We start from the raw sequence: 23,575 nt of genomic DNA, 5'->3' as shown, positions 1-23,575 counted from the left end.
GGGAATTGCTGCTGCCCCAGGAAGAGGCTCAGTGCAGAAGGAGGAAGGACAGCACAGCTGACAGCCGTGCTCAGGAAGTTTCTGGATCCTAGGCTCATCTCCACAGAGGAGAACACACAGGCAGCAGAGACCATGGGGCCCCTCTCAGCCCCTCCCTGCACAGAGCACATCAAATGGAAGGGGCTCCTGGTCACAGGTGAGGAGAGAACTTCCTGGGAGAGGACAGGAGGAGGAAGAAGAGTGACTGGATGGGGTCTCCTGGAGAGGATGGGGTTCTAAAAAATGAAAGAAGCCAGCACTTAGGGAGGCTGAGGTGGGTGGATCACGAGATCAGGAGTTCAAGGTCAGTCTGGCCAACACAGTGTAGCCCTGTCTCTACTAAAAATACAAAAAATTAACCAGGTATTGTCGTGTGTTCCTGTAATTCCAGCTACTCAGGAGGCTGTGGCAGGAGAATCACGTGAACCCAGGAGGCAGAAGTTGCAGCGTGCCGAGATAGCGCCACTGCATACCAGCCTGGGCGACAGTACGAGACTCCGTCTCAAAAAAAAAAAAAAAAAAAAAAAAAAAAAAAAAAAAGAGAGAAGAAAGAAATAAAAGGAAAGAAGGCTCTGTTGGAGCCTGGATAGGGGAAAATATACCAGAGAGGGACAGGGGTCAAAACAGGAAAATCACATTGAACTGGAATTGGTAAGAGGTAGGAAAATCTTAAGTGTTCTGTTTTCCTGATTAATCATCAGGGGCCACATTTTGAAAAATGATAATAATAACTATATCAGATGACACTTCAAATAAAAATATAAGCAGGACGTGAAACACTGTCCTCAGCAAAAAACCTCAACAATTGGGGGAGAAAAAAAAAAACACCAAGGGTGTGGAGGGCCCTGAGAAGTCTCACATCTACAGGAGTCTGCAGCCTGTTCCAGGCACTGGGGTGCAACCAAGATCACAAAAGTCCCTGTCCTCACTGAGCTCATGCTGTCATGGGGAGGAAGACAGACATACAAAGAGATCTAGAATGTGAGGTCAGCTGTTAACAAGAACCCTTTAGGGAGCAGAGCAGGGAAAGGTCAGAAAGGGAAGACCCAGGGTCTCTGAAGGAGGTGTCAGGAAAGAAGTCTTAGGATACCCTGATGTGAGCAGGACCTGATGGGGTCATGCGGACCCCTGGGGAAGAGGATTCCAAACAGAAAAATGCCAAGGTCACAAGTGGTGAAGGAATGGGGGTCATGCTGCTGACCTTGACCTAGTAGGACAGTAGTACACACACACATACACACATACAAACACACATGCCCCTTTTGTGTGTGTGTGTGTGTGTGTGTGTGTGTGTGTGTGTGTGTGTGTGTGTCTTCAAGGCTGAGGATTGAAGAGACCTCCTCAGGACCCAGGGCCCCATCTTTTCACCCCAATACATAGGTCTCAATATTGTCTGATGCTCTCTCCACCTCCTAGCATCACTTTTAAACTTCTGGAACCTGCCCACCACTGCCCAAGTCACGATTGAAGCCCAGCCACCAAAAGTTTCCGAGGGGAAGGATGTTCTTCTACTTGTCCACAATTTGCCCCAGAATCTTACTGGCTACATCTGGTACAAAGGGCAAATCAGGGACCTCTACCATTACATTACATCATATGTAGTAGACGGTCAAATAATTATATATGGGCCTGCATATAGTGGACGAGAAACAGCATATTCCAATGCATCCCTGCTGATCCAGAATGTCACCCGGGAGGACGCAGGATCCTACACCTTACACATCATAAAGCGAGGTGATGGGACTAGAGGAGTAACTGGATATTTCACCTTCACCTTATACCGTAAGTGATTCCACATGATCCCTGGGTGTTGGGGGACAGGGGTCATTTCTACTTCACACACACAGGATTGTCAGGCCTAGACTGTGCCTGTGTCCCTCTCTGCATTATGTCCCATGCTGGGGTTTGGGCATTTAGTGCAGGACACACACAGAGGAGACACATTTCAACAGATCAGAATTCCTTTCCCGCATCCAGACCCTGCAGACACTCGCTGCAGAGGAAGGACAGTCTGATGGGGGGACTCAGCAGGAGGAGATCAGTCTCAGCCAAGCACCTCATGCCCTCTTCATAAATTTGACCCTGAGAAAGACCCTGGAGAACTGAGCAGGGCTTGGCCTGAGGGGTCCCCTGAGATACTCTCAGAGAAGCTCAGCCCTAGAAACCTCAACCTCCAAACCCTGTCCCTAAATCCTTGCTCCAGATAAAGCTTAGGAGCCTGTGCCAGGGCTGGGTTGTGGCTTCATGGGCAGGGCTTACTGGGACCAAGGATTTACCAGCTGTCTGAGGACTGTGTCTCCTGGAGCTGTTCACCAGCTAGGGCTCAGCCCTCAGAGCCTCATCTGGGCAATGGTGTAGAGGACAGAGGTCAAAACAGGAGAGGCAGAGTGGAGAGGACAGAAAGACAATCTTTGAAGACCATCAGCCAACTGCCTTAGGAGGCTTAGGAGAGTCCATAGGAAGTCTAATGTCCCCAGAAGCAGAAACAGAAGACAGAAGATGTACCTGGTAGCAGCTTGTCCACAGGGATCTGATGTAACGGTGCTTTCTCATGGAAGCAAATTAATAATAAATGCTGTTTGTGTGAAACCTCCACTGTGCCAAGCATTAGATCAAGTGACTGTGAATACTTTAACATTTATTCACAGATAGCATGAAAAGCCACAGTCCATTTGCCATTTAGCTTATTTGATTGAGAGAAAACTGAGGCACAGGAAGGCACAGTCACTGAACCAGAGTCACACCAACACAAAGGGGAGATCAGGGTCACATGAGGTCTGCCTGCAGCCACAGGCCCTTCCTCTCCTCCACCAGAAGTGAGGGCTTACTGGGTCCCAAGGACCCCATGTCATTTATTGGCTCAAATCCTCTCTTCTTAGGCATCCAAACCTCAGAGGAGTGAGAGCAAATGGTCAGCTGATTAATCTGTACTCCAGAACTAAATCACCTGCCTCAACTGTCAGAATCAGTGCAAAAAACATGAGCAGGCCTCCCTCTCAGATCTTAACCCCCATCACTGAACCTGAAACCCTGTGTTTCCCAAAGTGTCCATGTCACTGTCATGAGAGGATCAAGGAGAGGACCTTGTTTTCTTTCCCCACTCACACCCTGCATCAGCACAGGCCCAGTGAGAGACACACACACTCAGGAGCTCTCACATAACAAATGAAGGAATGGAATGAAGAAATGAATGATCCAAAACCTCTTTAGAGACTGGATGTTGGATGCAGAATCCTAGGAGGTCCTAGCCACACCTGTCCCTTGTCCTTCAGAAGCTGACACCCATGTTTCATCCCCCCACTACCTCTTGCCCCTAAAGCAACCCCACCTCATGTAACTCTGAAGCTCTTTGGCCACCAGAGGGTTCTCAGGGCTCCTTGGTTCTGGACTGTGGAACTGGGGGCAGCTGGTCCCTGGGGTCTCTGACGTCAGTGTAGCCCTCACTGCTCACTGCCATGGTGTCTCTGCCTCTCTCTGCTTCTCTGTGTCCCTCATCTTCCTCCCACTTCATTCTGACTGGCAAGCCCTGTCCTGCACAGCTTCTTCCCTCACACCTAGGCCTTCCCCAGACACTCCCTCTAACTAGGCTGGCTGTTCTGTTCCCTTCCTTCTAACACTGTGGCCTAGCCAACCTCCCAGGAAATAGGAAAGGTGCAGAAATCACCTGGAGTTGCCACTCCTGCCAGGCTTCATCTCGAGCCAATGTCCCCAGGTCACTAAGAGAATGAGCTTCCACTGTATTCCCATCAAGGGCTCTTCCCCTTTGTGAGGCTGACCTGTGGACAAGACCATGGGACAGGGATAGGAAGTCCCTCCAACCACTCTTATCATTGTCAGACAAGTTCTTCTGGCCTCCTGCACACACACACAAAAAAATTATTGAAATGGTGATTTGTAGTAAAGAAAGATTTTAATGACTCCAAGTCTGCCAAACAGGAGGACAGAGGTTTATTATTACTCAAATCAGCCTCCCCAGTGGATCAGGGCTTAGAGATTTTCAAGGATAGTTTCAGGGGCACAGGACTGAAAAATGAGTACTGCTGATTGTTTGGTGATGGAATCATGCGGGCGGAGGGAAATGATCAGTTTGTGCTGGAATCCGCCTCTAGGTAGGGACCACATGACTGGCTGAGCCATTAATCATAGGTATGGATGAGGTCAGCCAGTTGCCAGAATGCAAAAGAATGAGAAACATCTCAAAAGACCAATCTCAACTTCTATAATAGTGATGTTATCTATAGGATCAATTAGTTACAAATTTTGTCAACTCCAGCCAAATGACATTGGAGCAGTCAGGGATTATAGAAACTGTGACAACAATTTAGCAGAATTCGGTTCCCTCCTATAATCTTAATCTCATGGTCTTTCACTAGTTTGACAAAGGCCGTCCCTGGGCAAAGTAAGGGTGTTAGTTTTATGGAGGAACTATTATCATTCTTGCTTCAAAATTAAACCATAAACTAAATTCCTCCCAAGGTTAGCCTGGCCTATGCCCAGGAATAAGTGAGGACAGCCAGCCTGAGACTAGATGCCAGATGGAGTCAGCCATGCTAGTTTGCTGTCACTGTTGTAATCTCTGCAATGACTCACCAGGGTGTCAGAGGCTGGACAGGCCTGCAGTCCCCCAAGCCCATGGGCTCATATCACCCATTTCACTCGTGACTCCATCCTCAACCTGCTATAGAGCTCACATTCTCCAGTCACTTCCTAGAGACTTCTGGCTTCCGGTCAGGCATATAACAAGCTTGGAATTTGTCACTCGGTTCCAACACTAAGTAAAAAAGCTAAGGAATCCCTAGCTTGAGGACGTGTCAATAGAAATTTCCAAAACTGAAACAGGAAAGTTCAAGAAGAGTGGGGAAGAAAAAGTGGAACAACTGATTCAACTTCATATTTAATATTTTGTTTTGACAGTAGCAATTTTTAAATTATGTAGTTGTGGGACAAATACAAATGCTGTAACGTACACGTAATAGGAATACTGGTGGTTTTGAGGACCAGTTGGAGGTGACCAGGTGGGTGCTATCTGATGGTTTTACTGCCTGTGCCACACACAAGTGTTTCCTCATGATGATGCCGTTTTCATAAGTTGGAGTTCTTCTTGTGGGGAGACACATGAGCCATTGGCATCTCACTTAGAATCTTCCTATTTCACACAAACTTAAACTCTAGTGGTGTTTCCTGAGCTTAAGAGAAAATGAAGAAAGCATTTCACATACCTGTTTTGGGGTCCTCCCCATTTTTCCTAACTCTGCACAGAAATTAGAAGCAGGGAGTTCTTTCTATATTTACTAACATAACACACATCACTTCTTTTAATTTGGCATCCTTCCTCCCTTTATGTAATTGATGCACTGACCAGTTCTGTCCTTTTAACGGGACTCTCTCTACTTAAGGAGCTGCTAATTTCCAATCACCTTTGGCATCTTTCTTTGAGCATAATGTGATCCTGCTGGAATTCACGGCACACCTAAACCTTATTTTGGTCTCAGGAGAAATACTACTACCAGCAATTGATCTTAGATGTTTGGATCATCAGTAAAAATTTCCACTTATGAAAACATTTTAATATTTCCTCCAAATTTTTTTTGTTACTAGAGTCAGAACATAACATGAGGTCTAAACTCCTGACAACTTTTTATGGGAAAATTACAGTATTACGAATTGAGCATCCCAAATCCAGAAATCCACAATCTGAAATGCTCAAAACTCAACCCTTCTGACCACTGATGTGATGCTAAAAAGAAGTGCTCACTGGCGCATTGTGGATTTTAAATTTTTCAGATTTGGGATGCTAAACCAGTACATATACGGCAAATATTCCAAAATAAAAAAATTAGAAATCCAAAACACTTTGTTTTAAGCTTTCTGCATAAGGAGCACTTTATCTGAATGAACTATAGGCACGAGGCTGTACAGGAGATCTCTAGAACCTCCTTATCCTGCATAACTGGAACCGCACACCCACAGAACAACGCCCTATTCCCCTGATCCCAGCTCCTGGAAACTACTATTCTACTCTCTGATTCACTCTGGAATCCACTGATATGAGGTACATAGGGTAGTTAAACTCAGAAACAGAGTAGAATATCTAATGAAAGTATCTGCAAGACTTCTTCCCAAATATTGGTCTAATATCCACCAAACACATATGGTCCATGAGGGCCAGACTTCCATCATCAGTTCATGTTCACCCTTTCCACCAGTCAGTTTCGCATTTGCAAACATCCACATGTATTTCTAGAAAGGTCCACATCGTCCTCACCTGCCCTCTACAGGGGGAAGGGAGCATTGTGGACCCAGAACAGGGCACATGGTCTTGTTCAGAAGCTATCAGCTCTTGCCTGTCCCCTTCACTCTTTGTAGGTCATTCCTTGGACTCTGCTCTATCTTTAGAGGTCACTGGCTCAAGTCACTCACTATGAGACACCTGGGAAAACTGCCCCACCTTGTGGCTCCACTGCCTGATGACTGAACTGACCTCCAGGCTTGACTCTGGTCTCCCCTGTGTTATTTATGCTGAAGTACCCAGTCCCAGGCCAGGCTTTCCAGTACCCAAAGGGTTTAAAGACAATGGGAAGTTCCATCATTCATCTCTTGGATGTCCTTGGCAAGGGAAGCTGCAGAGAAAACATACCTCAGGGGGCAAAGTAAGACTGAAACTAAGAAGATTCCAGCACTGCATGCTCCAAGTGAGGACCACAAGGTGGGCCAGGCAGGCACTTCGAGATGGAGGGACTCAGAGAGGCACCAGGGGCTGTGACTGCTGGTCCTGTGTCTTTCCATGACCCAATGCTGCTGCTCAATACACACCTGAGAAAGTCTGTGCTTCTCCCACATAAAGCAGGCAGCCTCACAATCACTGAGCCCTCAGATTGCCATGCATCTGTCTTGTAACACACACACCTGCCATGGGCTTTTAAGGACTTGGGTGGGCTGAGAGGTGGGAAATGCCAACTCTGATTGAAAAATGCCTTTGGAGGAATCAAAGGTGCCACACAGGGCAATCTTCTCTCTGTTTTCTGCACAGTGGAGACTCCCAAGCCCTCCATCTCCAGCAGCAACTTAAACCCCAGGGAGGCCATGGAAACTGTGATCTTAACCTGTGATCCTGAGACTCCGGACACAAGCTACCAGTGGTGGATGAATGGTCAGAGCCTCCCTATGACTCATAGGTTTCAGCTGTCCGAAACCAACAGGACCCTCTTTCTATTTGGTGTCACAAAGTATACTGCAGGACCCTATGAATGTGAAATACGGAACTCAGGGAGTGCCAGCCGCAGTGACCCAGTCACCCTGAATCTCCTCCGTGAGTATCTTCTGTTCCTCTGTGGGCCAGACTGCCATCCCAAATACACATGGCCAGAGGCCAGGCCTCTCAGTCCCTCTCAGGTCCAAGTACAGAGACCTTTACCCCTAGGCATCAAAGCTGGCCATGACTTTCTGCCCCAGGCAAACCAGAATAGGCCTAGGCTTGATCCACAATAGGAGAAAAGAGGCTCCTCCTGTCATAGGAGACTCAGGGTCCACAGCTTGTGATGGGAGAAACAGGTGAATGTCTCAGGCTCCAGATCAGTGAACACAGCGGGGATTTGGCTGGGAGTTCAGTGTTGCGGCTTGGCTCACAGGGTCACTGTGGCCCTTCCACAGACCAGGATTTTCCCTTCCCTCTGACAATAGTGCCTGTGACTTTATGCTCTTTGCTCCAGATGGCCTGGATGCCCCCACCATTTCTTCCTCACACCTATTACCATACAAGGGAAGTCCCCAAGCTCTCCTGCCTCACAGACACTCACCCACTGGCAGAGCATTCTTGGCTGATTGATGGGAAGTTCCAGCAATCAGCACAAGTGTTCTTTATCCCTCAAATCACTAAAACATATAGAGGGCTCTATGTCTGTTTCATCCATAACTCAGCCACTGCTGGAACAAATCTCATAATCAAGAGGACCATAGTCCCTGGTAAGTGGATCCCTGAAACATTGGCAATATGTTTTCCAGTGAAGTCTATCTAGCTATCAGGGAAGAGCCACCTGCCCTCTGCAAAGGGAGAGGGAAAATCAAAACCCCAGGACAGGGAATATGTTTCTGCTCCAAAACCACCAGCTTTTGCCTGTCCCCTCACTCTTTCTAGATCATTCTTTAGACTATACACTAACAATGAACAATCTGAAAGGAAATTAAGGAAAGAAATTCAATTCACATTAACATCAAAAGGAATAAAATATTTTGGAATAAGTTTAACCAAAAAGGTCAAATGATTATACCTTGAAAACTACAAAACATTGCTGAAAGAAATTAAAGACGATATCAATATATGGAAAGACATTTCATTTTCATGGATTGGAAGACTCAATATTGTTAGAAAGACAATACTACCCAAAGTGAGTTGCAGATTCAATGCAACCCCTCCCAGAATCACAGTAACATTTTTGGCAGAATTAGAAAACTCCGTCCTAAATCTGACCTGACAGGCTCTTATTAATGACTGCCACAACAGAAACACTGTGAAAAAGATGCAACCATGAAAAGGTGGAAAGTTCTGATGACACAGAAAATAGCAATCAGCCTTTCTCACATCCCAAAGCCTTAAAAAATAAACGAGTGCAGCATGGCCAGTATGGAATTGACCGAAAACTAATCACCAAGCCAGAAACGTGGTGAGAGAAAAAAAAGGGCAAGAATATCTTTGGCTTATCACCTCCCACTTTTGCCTACTAATCTGATGCTGAAAAGAAATGCTCACTGGAGCATTTTAGATTTTGAATCTTTCAGATTTGGGATGCTAAACCAGTAAGTATATGACAAATATTTCAGAATCAAAAAATGTCAGAAATCCGAAACACTTTTTGTCTTAAGTCTTATGCATAAGAAATACTCAATCTGTGTGAACTATAGGCATCAAGCTCTACAGCAGATCTCTAGAAACTCCCTACCTTGCATAACTGAAACTGCACACCCATGAACAACTTCTGATTCTCCCCACTCCCAGCTCCTGGCAACCAGCAGTCTCTTCTCATATTCACTCTGGAATCCACTTACATGAGGTCCCTAGAGTAGTCGAACCCAGGGAATCACAGAGTAGATTGTTCAATGAAAGAAAATATTTGAAAAACTTCTCTCCAAATTTGTCTCATATCCATCAAACACACATGGTCCATGACGACCAGATTTCCAGCAGTTCATTCCCACCCTTTCCACCAGTCAGTTCTGCTTTTGCAAATGTCCGCATGTATTTCTGGAAAGATCCACATGGTCCTCACCTGCCCTCTGCAGAAGGAGAGGAAACTTAAAGAACCCAAGACAGGGAACATGCTTCTGCTCCAAAGCCACCAGCTCTTGCCTATCCCCTTCACTCTTTCTAGATCATTCCTTGCACTCTGTTCTATCTTTAGAGGTCACTGGTTCAAGTAAGTCATCATGAAACACCTGCAAAAAGCTGCCCCACCTTGTGCCTCCACTGCCTGATGACTGAACTGACCTCCAGGCTTGACTCTGGTCTCCCCTGTGTTATTTCTGCTGAAACATCCAGTCCCAGGCCAGGCTGCTCAGTATCTTCAGGGTTTCAGGACAATGGGAAGTCCCATTATTACTGATCTCTAGAATGTCCTTGGAAATGGAAGCTGCAGAGAAATCACATCTAGGGGGGCAAAGTAGGATGGAATTTGGAAGGGGCCCAGCAGTTGCACATTCCAGGTAAGGAACCCAAGGTGAGCCAGCCAGTCAACTGATTAGGGAGAGACTGGGAGGGGTACTGGGGCTGTGACTCCCACTGACATGTCTGTCCATGACCCAACACTGCTGCTCAATTGACACTTCAGAAAGTCTGTGCTTTCCTAAGACAGAGCAGGCGGCCTCACAGTCTTTGAGCCCTTAGATCATCATGCATCTGTCTTGTGACACACACACCAGTTATTGGCTTTCAAGGACTCAGGTGGGCTGAGAGGTGGGAGATGGTAACTCTGATTGAAGGATGCCTGTGGAGGAATCAAAAGTGCCACACAGGACAATCTTCTCTCTGTTATCCACACAGCGAAGCTGCCCAAGCCCTAAATCACCATCAACAACTTAAACCCCAGGGAGAATAAGGATGTATTAGCCTTCACCTGTGAACCTAAGAGTGAGAGCTACACCTACATTTGGTGGCTAAATGGTCAGAGCCTCCCGGTCAGTCCCAGGGTAAAGCGACCCATTGAAAACAGGATCCTCATTCTACCCAGTGTCACGAGAAATGAAACAGGACCCTATGAATGTGAAATACGGGACCGATATGGTGGCATCCACAGTGACCCAGTCACCCTGAATGTCCTCTGTATCTTTTGTTCCTCTGTGGGCCAGGCCACCAGCTTAAATCCAAATGACCAGGGGCCAGGCCTCTCAGTCTCTCTCCGGTCCAAGTATAGACAACTTTACTTCTGGACATCCAAGCTGGCCATGACTCCCTGCCCTGGGAAAACCTGGGTAGGCACAGCCTTAACCAAGAATATAAGGGGAGTGGACGGTCTTGTCGTGGGAGACTTGGGGCCCACATCTTGTGGTGGGAGAAACAGGTGAATACTTCAGGGTTCGGCTCAGTGAACATAGAGGGGGTTTTGCTGGGACTTGAGGATGTGTCTTGTCTCAGAGGGTCACTGTGTCCCTTTAAGAGACCAGGAGCATCCCCTTCCCTCAGATGGCATCACCTGTGGCTTTATTCTCTTTGCTCCAGATGGTCCAGACCTCCCCAGAATTCACCCTTCATACACCAATTACCGTTCAGGAGATAACCTCTACTTGTCTTGCTTCGCGAACTCTAACCCACCGGCACAGTATTCTTGGACAATTAATGGGAAGTTTCAGCAATCAGGACAAAATCTGTTTATCCCCCAAATTACTACAAAGCATAGCGGGCTCTATGTTTGCTCTGTTCGTAACTCAGCCACTGGCGAGGAAAGCTCCACATCGTTGACAGTCAAAGTCTCTGGTAAGTGGATCCCAGCATCCTTGGCAGTAGGGTTTTAGGTGGAGTCTATCTGGCTTTCAGAGAAGAGTCAGGAAAACATTTTTATTCCCAGCCTGTGTCCCATGGGCAAAAGCAAATCCCAAATTCTCCTCCTGAACCCTCCCAATTTGTCTCTACAAACTCTCTTCTCCTTGTTTTTCTGTTTTCTCATGGCTGACCTTGTGTCTCGCCTGAGAAAGGTAGGGAGGGGTCATTATCAGCCCTGAGCCCTATGTGGTAGAAGAGGCTTCACAGAGGGACAAGAAGGAGTGTCCTCAAGATCAAGTTGCTTCTGGATGTCACTAACACATCCCCTTCTGCCACGTCTTTTTTTTCTTGTACCTATTCCATGAGCTACAAGGAACATCTGAGGCTTTGAAACAAGCTCACACTTTTCCCCCAAATGAGAGGAGGAAGCCCCTTGGGTGAGGGAGGAGCAGCTCAGACTCTGCTTCCTGCTCTGCTCTGGGCTCCTCTGGTGACTGGCCCTGTTTGACTCCACCTGGGGTGGGACCAGCATGTGTGGAGAAAGACCCCTTGTGGACTGTCCTGAATTTCGCTAAATGGAGCTGCCAGTTGAAGCCAAGCCTCCCCCGGGCCAGGCTGCAGGGAAATGAGAAGAGAAGGAGCCTCAGGGCAGACTCCTAAGCCTGGTCCTGGCTCTGAAGTCAGCGGTTGTATGAAGCTGTGGGCACAGTACGTGGGACACAGCATGGAGGACTGTGACTGATGCAGAGCTAGAGAAATAGGGAGATTCACCCCTGGAGCTCTGCATGGCAGGAAAAGGGCAGTGCCAAAAAGTGTGTAATTATAGAGAGGGTAAGACTACCAGACACTTTATATATATCTAATATAAGGCTTACCATTAGCTATTTCTAAGTGTGCAATTTAGTGTTGTGTAACCATCACACTATCCATTTCCAGAACTTTTTCCTCTTACCATATTAAACCTCTGTACCCAATAAACAGTAACTCTCACTCCTTCTCCCTCGAACCCTTAGCACCCACCATTCTAATTTCTGTCTCTATGTAACTGGCTATTCTAACTATCTTTTATAAATGGAATTATATAATAATTATCCTTTTGTGTCTGGCTTATTTCAGTTAGCATAATATCTTCAAGGTTCATCCATTTTGCACGATGTATTGGAATTTTATTCCTTGTTAAGGTTGAATAACATTTCAACGTATAGACACACCTCATTTGCCTACCCACTTATCTTTCAATGGACTTTTTGGTTGTTTCCATTTTTTCGCTAGTGTGAGTAATGCTTCTCTGAACATCAGTGCACAAATATTTGTTCAAATTTCTTTCAATTCTATGGGGAGTATGTCCAGAAGTGGAATTGCTGGATCAAACGGTAATTTATTGTTTAATTTTTTGAGAAACAGCACACCAATTTTTACAGTGGCTATAACATTTCCCATTCCCATCAGCAATGCACTAGAGCTCCAATTTTTCCATCTGCTTGAAAACACCTGTTGTTTTGTGTTGCTGTCATTGTTGTTGTTTATCAAAGCCATCCTAAAGTGTGTGAGGTGGTGTAACATTGTGGTTTTGATTTGCACATCTCTAAGTATTCATGATGCTGAGGAACTTTGCATGGGCTTACTGGATATTTGTGTAACCTCCTTGGAGAAAACTCCATTTTAATCTTTTGTTCATTTTTTAATTGGGTTTTCGGATGTTTGCTGTTGTTGACTTGTAGCTTTTCATGTATTCTGGAAATTAATTTCTTATCACACATATAATTTGCAAATATTTTTATCATTTCATGGGTTGCCTTTTTACTTTCTTGATAATGTTCTTCGATATGTAAAAGGTTTTGATTTTTATGAAGTCCGATTTATCCGTTTTATTTGTTGCCTATGCTTTTGTTGTTACAACCAGGAAATCATTGTGAAATCCAGCATCATGAAGCTTTTCTTCTAAGAGTTGTACAGTTTTTGCTCTTACATTTAGATCTTTGATCTATTATGGGTTGATTTTTGTACATGGTGTTATGTAAAGGTTCTAGTTTTCTTGCCCTTGAATATCCAGCTTTCCCAATATCATTTGGTGAGAACACTGTCCCTTCCCCATTGAATGATCTTGGCACACTCGATGAAAATCATTTGGCCATATATGCAAGAATTTCTTTCTGGGCTATTATACTTCATTAATTTCTATGTCCTCCTTTATGCCAGTACCACACTGTATTGATTACTGGGGCTTTGTAGTAAATGCTGAAATCAGAAAGTGTGAGTCCTCCAGCTTCATTCTTCCTCCTCAAAGCTCTGTGTCTATTTAGTCATGAGATGCAATATAAATTTTAGGACAGATTTTTGTTTTTCTGCAAAAATGTCACTGAGATTCTGATTGATAGGAATTGTATTGAATCCGCAGCTCACTTTGGGTAGCACTGTCCTCCTAACAATATTGAGTCTTCCAATTCATGAAAACAAAATGTCCTTCAATTTATTGATGTCATCTTTCATTTCTTTCAGCCATATTTTGTAGATTTCAGGTATAATCATTTCACCTCTTTGGTTAAACTTATTCCTAAATATTTTATTCTTTTTGATGTTAATATAAATTGAAATTTTTTTCCTAATTTCCCTTCAGACTGTTCATGGTTAGTGTATTGAAATACAACTGACGTTTGAATGCTGATTTTCTATTGTGCAACGTTACTGAATTTATTTATTAATTCTAATAGGTTTGTTCCACCTTTAGGATTTTCTACATATAAGTTCAAGTTATCTATAAACAGAAATAATTTTACTCCTTCCTTCCAATTTGAATGTCTTTTTTTAAATTCTTGCCTAATTTTTCTGACTAGACCTTTCAACACTATGTTGAATAAAAGTGTCAAAAGTGGGCATCCTTGTCTTATTCCTGCTCATACAGGGAAAGCTTTCAGTCTTTCTCCGTTAAGTATGATGTTACCATTGGGTTTTTCACATATTGCCTTTATGTTGAAGTGGTTTCCTTCCATTCTTACAATGTTTTTCTTATGAAAAAATATGGAATTTCATCAAATGCTTTTATTGATTCAATCTTATTAGTGATTATAGTTTTATTCATATTTTTGTGTGTTTCTAGGAGTTTGTCTATTTCATCTAGGTTATCCAATTTATTGGCATACAATTATTTATAGTACTTTCATAATCATTATTTTATTAGAATTGGTAGTAATCGCTTCATTTTTCTTTCTTTCTTTCTTTCTTTCTTTTTTTTTTTTTTGTTGAAAAGAGAGAGACAGGCTGTCACTCTGTAGGCCAGCCCAGGATGGAATACAGTTGTGTGATTATGGCTCACTGCAGCCTCAACCTCCTGGGCTCAAGCAATTCTCCTTCTTCAGCCTCTCAAGATGCTAGGACTACAGGTGCATGTCAACATGCCCAGCTAATTGGTTTTTTATTTTTTTGTACACACAGCGTCTCCCCAGGTTACCTATGCTGGTCCAAACACCTGGTCTCAAGAAATCCTTCTGCTGTGACCTCCCAAAGTGCTAGGATTAAAACATGACCCACCATGCTCAGAGTCCATTTTCATTTCTGATTTTAGGAATTTTAAACTTTTCTCTTTTTTTCTTAGTCAATCTAGTTAATGGTTGTCAATTTTGTTGATTTTATTTTGAAGAATCAACTTTTGGTTTCAGTAATTTCCTCTATTCTGTTTCCGTTCTCCATTTTATTTATGTCCACTCTAATCCTTATTATTTCCCTCATTCACTGTGCTTGGGTTTAGTTTGTTCTTCTTTCATATCCTGAAGTATTAAAGTAGGTTGTTGATCTGAGATCTTTCTTCTTTTTTAATGTAAGAGTTTACAGTTATAAATTTCTTGCACAAGACTCAACTTCTCTGAACCTCTGATTCCTTACCTGAATATTGCAATGACAGTGCTTTCTTCATACCATTCTTTTAAAGATTTAATGCAGTCAATGAAACAAGATGCCACACACAGAGGAACCAATGTCAGCTACTATATTACTATCATCATCATCAACCTTGAGGTCAAATAGTCCTAGAATGAAATCTCAGATCCCCCTGTCACTAGCCATATGACACCAGGAAAGTTTTTACACCACGCTAAGCTTCTGTCTTTTCATTGCCAAAATGGAAATAATGTCTACCTGACAGGGTTATTGTGTGGATTAAATGAGATACAGGGAAGTATTTAGCACAGGGCCTGGCACATAGCAAGTGCCCCTCAACAGTATCTACCTTTTTCCATATATATATATATGGAAAAAGAGGTAACACATAAAACACTAGGACATGGTTACTGACTGCTTGTGGGAGAGAAAGAAAAAAAGCTAAGGGCAAAGAATCAAGCCTGGTATGTTAGTATTTACCAACTGAGATGCATCCAAGATGGGATTAGACATACAAGATAATTTATCAGGGAAGACATCTGTGAGGGAATGTGGGGCAGGCATGAAGGTAGTATGGGAGAACCCACAGACCACTATGCAGAGCTGATTCCTATGAAAAACAAAGAGAAAGAAGTTTTAGGTACCAATGCAGTTCTAAGAGTTTTTGCAAGGCTGATGAGGAATCCTCCAACCAGTCACCCATTAGAGTTAAAGAGAGCCTCGGAGAACTAGGCTTGCTTTCACACCCTTGCTGGGAGCCTGTAGGAAAGAAGCTTTCTGTGCACAAGAGGTGGTGAATTTGAAATGCACTGACCTGGGCCTTCTGCCAATCAGGTCCCTGCCATGGAGACCTGACAGAGTCTCATTCATGACTGCCACAACAGAAACACCGAGAAAAAGATGCAACCATGAAAAGGTGAAAATGTGGCAAGTTCTAATGACATAGAAAATAGCAATCAGCCTTTCTCACATCTGAAAGCCTTCCAAAATATCTGAGTGCAGTAGAGAATTGACAGAGGACTGATCACCAACCGAGACACATGGTGAGAGGGAAAAAAAACTGCAAGAATATAATCATCTCCCATCAATATTCCAAGAGAAATAATGTGGTCCTTGAAGAAACAATTATAGAGTACCTCATGTTACATGCTTGTTCCTGATGCTCCCCCATGTAAAATAACATCACCTTCATTCCTTCTTTACTTTTCTTTCCATGACAGCTTCTACAAGAATAGGACTTCTTCCTCTCCTTAATCCAACATAGCAGCTGTGATGTCATTTCTGTATTTCAGGAAGACTGGCAGGTATGATGGCCTTTTCTCTTATCCTGGTTCCTGCAGAGCTGACTGCCATGCTTGGGAGAGGGAAAAGACTTATTTGCCTGTATCTGGGACTGCATCTCCTCCTTCCTCCACTAAACTCCTGCTTCTCAGCACTAATTCCTGCAGTTCCCTTTCTCCCTGGCCTTTATGCTCCCTGTACCCCACTGTCTTTTAGACATAATTATCTCCAGCCTCTGCTCATTTGTTTCTCAGATTCAAATGAGAAACACAATTTCACATGGTGAAACCCTCTTCATTATTTTTAACATCTCTCAATAGTGTAATTCTCTCCATTCCCATAAAGCTCAACCACTTCTCAAAGTATTGCTTGACTTCTTGTCTCCAGACTTTGAAATCTTCCTTGCATATGATTGCCTCATTACCTTTCTAAAATCTGGTTAATTGATTTAATCAAGAATCTGCAGGGGTCTACTCTAGCCTATTTGATAAGTTCACATTTCTTCTATTTACTAAGGCTTCTCACTTCCTTTACCTCTACTTCCTAGTATAAATCCTCCATCCTAATTAGAACTGTCTTCCTACACATCCCTGCCCCTTCACCCATATAGACATAAAATTCTTAGTTCCAATGCTATGTCTAAAAACAGAGTGAAATCCCTTCAACCATCTGCACTGCAGACTTAACCACACCCTTCATCACAAGCAACATGTGACCTCGTGGAGAACAAAGACTTTAGGATTAACATGTGAACCTGAGACTCAGAACACAACCTATGTGTGGTTGAGATCTTTTCCTGATGATCAGTTCATGTGTTCAAAAAACATACAGAAATGAAGAAGGCAAGGTCCCTACCCCAGGAGACATAAAGCCTAAGACAGGAAATGAGACCTGAAAATAATCATGATACCAAAATAGAAAAAATTGAATGCCACAAGAAATCAGAGAAATCTGATGGGAAATAGAGCTACACATTGGAATCACTGGAAAACATTTCTAAAAGTGGATGCTCAAGCCCCACCCATTAGTTCCAGTTCAAAGGTCTGGAGAGGGACCCAGGCACTGGTAATTTTTAAGTCTTCCCTGACACTACTAACACGTAACAAGGATGGAGAACTCCTGTTGCAATAGGTAGAACTTAAAACTAAATCAATGATTTTCAGCTAAAAGTACTGGAATTACCTAAGGACCTTTTTCAACATACATAAGACTATACATTTTTGGCCCTATTTATGAATGGGCTACACCAAGAACTCAGTAATCCTCTTGAGAAACAGAAGCTGAACGGAAAAGCCACCTTATTTTATATATTAAATTTATAGAAAGCATTTTCAAATAAGGGATAAGTGATGCTAAACCTTCTCTAAATAATATTTATGGGAATGTTAATAATATGAGTATTCTAGGCTGAGCGCGATGGCTCACGCCTGCAATCCCAGGAGTTTGGGAGGCCGAGGTGGGTAGATCACGAGGTCAGGAGATCGAGACCATCCTGGTTAACACGGTGAAACCCCATCTCTACTAAAAATGCAAAAACAAAATTAGCCGGGTGTGGTGGCAGGCACCTGTAGTCCCAGCTACTCAGGAGGCTGAGGCAGGAGAATGGCATGAACCGCGGAGGCGGAGCTTGCAGTGAACTCAGATGGCACCACTGCACTCCAGTCTGGGTGACAGAGTGAGACTCCATCTGAAAAAAAAATTTTTTTAATGAGTATTCTAAAAATTATATGAAATTTCTGAAAATCAAATATGTTATCATAGTGTCATATGCCACAGAAGTAACTAGATTTCTATGTGAGCTGTGTCTTTACCATAATAAATTCTCATTAGATTTTTAACCATAGTCAGTTTAAATCTCTGTCATTCCCAGACAGTTGCTTTGATTCTTCCTCAAACTACTTACAATCACCTACAGTCCAAAATTGCTTTTTCTTCAAGGAGATTTATGGAAAGGTCTCTTACAAGGACTCTTGAATACAAGCTCCTGATAACTTCAAGATCATACCACTGGACTAAGAACTTTCAAAATTTTAATGAACAGGCTGATACCTTCATGAAATTCAAGACAAAGAAGAAAAATACTCAATGTTATTGGACTAAATAATCAAAAGGATAATGATTTCATAATTTTCTATTTGAAAATGTGCTGATTCTTGGAATGTTTCATTCTCCAGATTTATGAACATTTTTTCTTGAGCAATTGGTAAAGTATACTTTTGTAAACAAAAATTGAAACATTTCCTTTTGCTCTCTATCTGAGTGCCCCAGAATTGGGAATCTATTCATGAGTATTCATATGTTTATGGTAATAAAGCTATTTGCACAAGTTCAGTAAGAATCTGCTCTCTTTATAACAGGACACATTTGAAAACATTGATTATATTATCAAGGCTTTGACTGGGATGTTATATTTGAGAATATACATAGAATAAACCCATAGGGAATGCAGGCAAAGTCTGAAGTGGGCCTTGGTTTGGCTTCCTAGTCTCAAGAGGTTTTTGGAAGTTTAATCTGAGATTCTTATTAAAAACTTCTAGCAAAGCAAAGTTTAAAAATGGCCTCTACAGTCCATTGCTACTCTTGCCGCACTTAGGTAAAAAATCTGGGCAAGTTCGGTGAGACTCAACCAAATTTGCAAACAAATTCATCCTACTGGAATTATCTTTGGTAAAAATAGAGACTCCTATAGAGAGAAAAACTATGTTGAAAAGAAAAACTGTAGTACACCTGTTACCAGATTGAACCACTGTTCATTATCTTTGAGTATTTATAATCCACTGGTAGACTGGACTGGACCCTGAATTCTTTTAGTTCTTCCAATTCAATTTTCTCCAATGAAATCATTAAGAACAAGAGTGGCTCTGTTCCTGAAGCCATATAAGGTGGAGGTGGACAACTCAATGTAAATTTCATGGGAAAACCCTCGTGTCTGAGGTGGGGGCCACTAAGAGCTCACCACATGTTCAACACCATAACTTAGAGACACTCAAACTGCAAACCACGACAAGTTGATGACTTTACACTGTGGACAGCTTTTCTCAAGATGTCAGAACAAGACTATCAATCATGATGAGACTCTTACCTCTCTTAATTTGTCCTTGCTTATGCCTGTCTCCTTTGCTTCCCAGAATAATGCTGTACTTAGGATTTCACAAGAAGTAGCTTCTGAGAGTAAGTTAACAGTGTCAGGTATATCATGTCAACCATACTTTTTTTTTTTTTTATAAGATGGAGTTTCGCTCTTGTTGCCCATGCTGGAGTGCAACGGCACAATCCTGGCTCACGGCAACCTCTGCCTCCTGGGTTCAAGTGCTTCTCCTGCTTCAGCCTCCCAAGTAGCTGGGATTACAGGCATGCACCACCACGCCCAGCTAATTTTGTATTTTCAGTAGAGACAGGGTTTCTCCATGTTGGTCAGGCTGGTCTTGAACTCCGACCTCAGGTTATCCGCACGCCTCAGCCTCCCAAAGTGCTGCGATTACAGGCGTGAGCCACCACACCCAGCCCACCCATTTTTACATACCGAGAGATCCTTTAATCCACCCAAAGGCTGACGTTAGCTGCACCTGTAACACAACTTTTTCCTCAAATGTATGGAGATTTTTTTAGGCTTCCACTTCTATACTTGCCTATTCTCACTCCCTGTTTTAATTTAACATACACATGCAATGCTAGATAATAGAATTGCTCTCTATCAGCTGAACAGGGGGGAGCCTGTGCAGTTTCTCACCCTTCTTGTTGCACATGGATAAATACATCGGGTTTTATAGAGACTCAGCTGTAAAAATCATGAAATGTGCTGCCTGGTTAAAATGACTAGACTCTTCTGGCTTCTTCCTTGATCTATCCTATTGCAGTTGGTTTGCATCTTGCCTAAGGTGCATATTCCAAACTCTTGATATTTTCCTCCTGATAGTCATACTGGTAGTCTCCCTCGTGTGGTGCAATCTACAGATGTTTTTATTGGTGTGCAGCCATTCTTCAAATATCAAATGGTTTCTCTTGGGCTGGAATTACAAAAACTCAAAGAAATGTGTGATTTATGGGCTGGGCGCTGTGGCTCACATCTGTAATCCCAGCATTTTGGGAGGACAAGGCAGGCAGATCACAAGGTCAGGAGTTTGAGATCAGCCTGGTCAATATGGTGAAACCCTGTCTCTACTAAAAATACAAAAATTAGCAGGGCATGGTGGCGCGCACCTGTAGTCCTGTAGGGAGACCCCCTGAAACTATTGCTACAGAATAAAAGATGAAATGCTCCTGATTATTGTAAATACAAAATTGCATGCAGGATTGTGTAAAGACAATGCCAGGTTGGGCTGCCAGAATGAGCCTACAGCGCGTGATGTGCTTCTGTTATATGGATGGGAGATAGAATTATGAGTTTAGAACACAGATTACAAATGCAACGTGATTGGAATACTTCTGATTTTTGTATAACTCCGTTCCAATATAAAGAGTCTTTTCACAATTGGGAATCAGTAAAATGCCATTTACAAGGAAGTGAAGATAATTTAAGTTTAGACATAAACAAGCTGAAAGAACAGATTTTTGAAGCCTCTCAAGCACACTTATCTGCTTTACCTAGTGCTGAAGTTTTAGACAGTATCTCTGAGGGGTTATCTAATCTCAACCCCTTTCAATAGGTAAAATCTTTGGGAGGATCCACTATCGTTAATTTTGTTCTGTGTATAATTTGTGCTATTGGTTTACTGTTCGTGTGTAAAATTGGAAAAAATATTCTTCAATCCAATCGTGATCAGTGCCAACCTATGATTGCTATGGTTCATTGAAATCAGAGAAAAGGGGGAGATGTAGGGAGACCCCCTGAAACTATTGCTATGGAATAAAAGATGAAATGCTCCTGATTATTGTAAATACAAAATTGCATACAGGATTGTGTAAAGACAAATGCCAGGTTGGGCTGCCAGAATGAGCCAACAGCATGTGATGTGCTTCCGCCTGCAGAGAGCCTATGAATGGACATGCAGTCAGGGAGGTTTCACATAACCAAGATTCCTATCCCAGAAAAGCAGATGTCCATAGCTCTGGGAATGGAATGCGACCCTTGTGGACAGCTTACAAATGACCTTAAATCCCTCACTAACCTACCAACACTCTCACTAAACTTAATAATAAATGCTGGTATATCCAGTGCATTGGTAGCATCGCAGGACCAGAAGGCAGTGACCCCTCTGGACCCAGTTTTCACTATCTTGTGTGTGTCTTTTATTTCTCAACCTGCCGATCTGCCTGGGAACAAAGAAAGAGCCCTGTTGCATTGCAAGCTGCTGGCCAGATCCCGCAATATAGTCCCAGCTACTTGGGATGCTGAAGCATCTGTAGAGGGAGAGCTGCCCCAAATCATAAATCAAAAATAAAAGCCAATTACATCAATAACTAAATTAGTTGTAATTTTGTCTTATCACACATGTTCACAGGAAGTAATGGCCAGTGGAGTCTCTCAGGCTGCATCATTCTCACCCTGACCCTCCTGCCTTTCTCTTTCACTTACAAGGACCCTTATGATGACACTGGGAGCCACCCAGATAAGTCAGAATAAGCTTTCCTTCTCAAGATACTCAACTTCATCACCTTTGAACAGTGTTTTTGCCAAGAAAAGTAAATGCATGTGTTCCAAGAGTTAGGATGTGGATTTTTTTTTTTTTTTTTGAGACAGTTTCACTCATGTTGCCCCAGCTGGAGTGCAGTGGCACAATCTGGGCTCACTGCAATCTCCGCCTCCCAGGTTCAAATGATTCTCCTGCCTCAGCCTCCCAAGTAGCTGGCATTACAGTTGCCCACCGCCACGCCCAGCTAATTTTTGCATTTTTAGTAGAAATGTGGTTTCACCATGTTGGCCAGGATGGTCTCGAACTCCTGACCTTGTGATCCACCCGTATCAGCCTCCCAAAGTGCTAGGATTACAGGCATGTGCCCCTGCACCCGGCCTGGATGTGGACATTTTTAAGAGGCCATTATTCTGCCTCATATGGGTCACTTTCATAAACATCACCCACAACAAAAATGTTTTGCCTTCCTTCCACGTCTCACTTTTCTGTCTGCACAAACCACAGTGAAGCACACTAGCTCTGCTATGAAGTGGCTGGATGACCCTGGGCCACTCATTTGACCTCCCTCAGCCTCTTTCCTCATCTGCAGTATAAGGCTGACTCTTACTGCATCAGAAAATGACAGTGGAAGAGTAAATTAACATGTGTAAGACATTAGTCACAGAGCCTGGTACCTGATGAGCCCTTGGTAAACATTCCTTTCAGTCCTTTCCTTTCACCTTCCCATTTTTCTTGCCCTCACCCATCTTCTCCTTCAACTCCTTTCTCTTCAGTAACTTACTCAGTCTAACCTGCCAATTAAAGAAGCCACACTACCCATTGTCTCATGACTCTGTTGGAATGTTCTTCTGATGCGGTCTGCTATCCACTAAAGGCAATGGGTATTATTTATATGGAGAGGTCTGTTTGCAACAAGAAATCCTTCTTATGCTCACACAAAATTTATACACAATTTCTCTTAACTTACATGTAGCAGTCTCAATTCTACCCTGTCATTTCATACATGTACTCCATTATTTTATTCTTCGGTCTTTCTCCTTACACCTTAAAAATTAGGAGAGTACAAAAACAAAAATAATGGCCTGGGCCAGAAGAGGGGATTCCTTTAGCAAGATGAATGCTTTCCTTTTTCAAGATGAATGAATGCTATGTGCAAGGCAGCCCTGAAGCCCATTTCTGGGTTTGGCTTACATCAAAGCCATTTGACTCTAGGACACATTCTTAGATTCCCAGGAGATAATGATTGCCACGGAATCCACGCCAACTCTGAGTATTCCTACTGTTGGGTAAAGGAATGTTTGCAGAATGTTGTGCATTCTGTTTACTCCTCCTAAATTCTTCCACTCCTGGAAGTTAAGCTTCCCCACTAATCAGCTTCATCTACAGCTGGCCTGCCTGGACCCTGACTGGAAAATACCTCCCCACTCTGGATGGCCAGGGTGGCACCTTTGTCTATTCCCATAATTATAATAGCTCACACTGATGCAGCACTCACTATGTACCAGGTACTATCCTGAGAGCTTTCCAGGAAACTACAGTCCTCACCAAAAAATCCCAAGTACCACAATCCCCATTTTTACAGATTAAAAAAAAAACTGAGGCAGAGAAGTATGTACCCACTGTCACCTAACTCCATAATTCAACCTCATCCTCCACTTCATCTGGTAAGAGGACACTCTAAGATTTACAAGGTCTCCTGAATGACATCCTCCTTCAAAAATGATTTTTGTCCCATTCACTTTCAGGATTTGACAAATAGCCAGAATTTTGTTTTCTGTCTCACCCTTCACTTATGCACCTGTTCCCTAAAACTACACTCACAACTGCACAGCCCTGCATA

The 23,575-nt window shown here is 43.1% G+C and overlaps 1 protein-coding gene across 1 annotated transcript; it reads left to right on the top strand.

The window, feature by feature from the left end:
- PSG2 (pregnancy specific beta-1-glycoprotein 2) lies at positions 1-18,493 on the top strand. Its single transcript, NM_031246.4, has 6 exons — positions 1-196; positions 1,456-1,821; positions 7,070-7,348; positions 10,748-11,002; positions 16,102-16,185; positions 18,101-18,493. The coding sequence occupies exons 1-5, from the start codon at positions 133-135 to the stop codon at positions 16,143-16,145; spliced, it is 1,008 nt and encodes a 335-aa protein (NP_112536.2). The 5' UTR covers positions 1-132; the 3' UTR covers positions 16,146-16,185; positions 18,101-18,493.
- The last annotated feature ends 5,082 nt before the right edge of the window (positions 18,494-23,575 follow it).

The sequence above is a fragment of the Homo sapiens genome, chromosome 19 (genome assembly GCF_000001405.40).
Source record: "Homo sapiens chromosome 19, GRCh38.p14 Primary Assembly".
Taxonomy (NCBI): Eukaryota; Metazoa; Chordata; class Mammalia; order Primates; family Hominidae; genus Homo; species Homo sapiens.
Note: the sequence above shows the minus strand (reverse complement) of the source record. Positions and strands in the feature narration are given on the sequence as shown.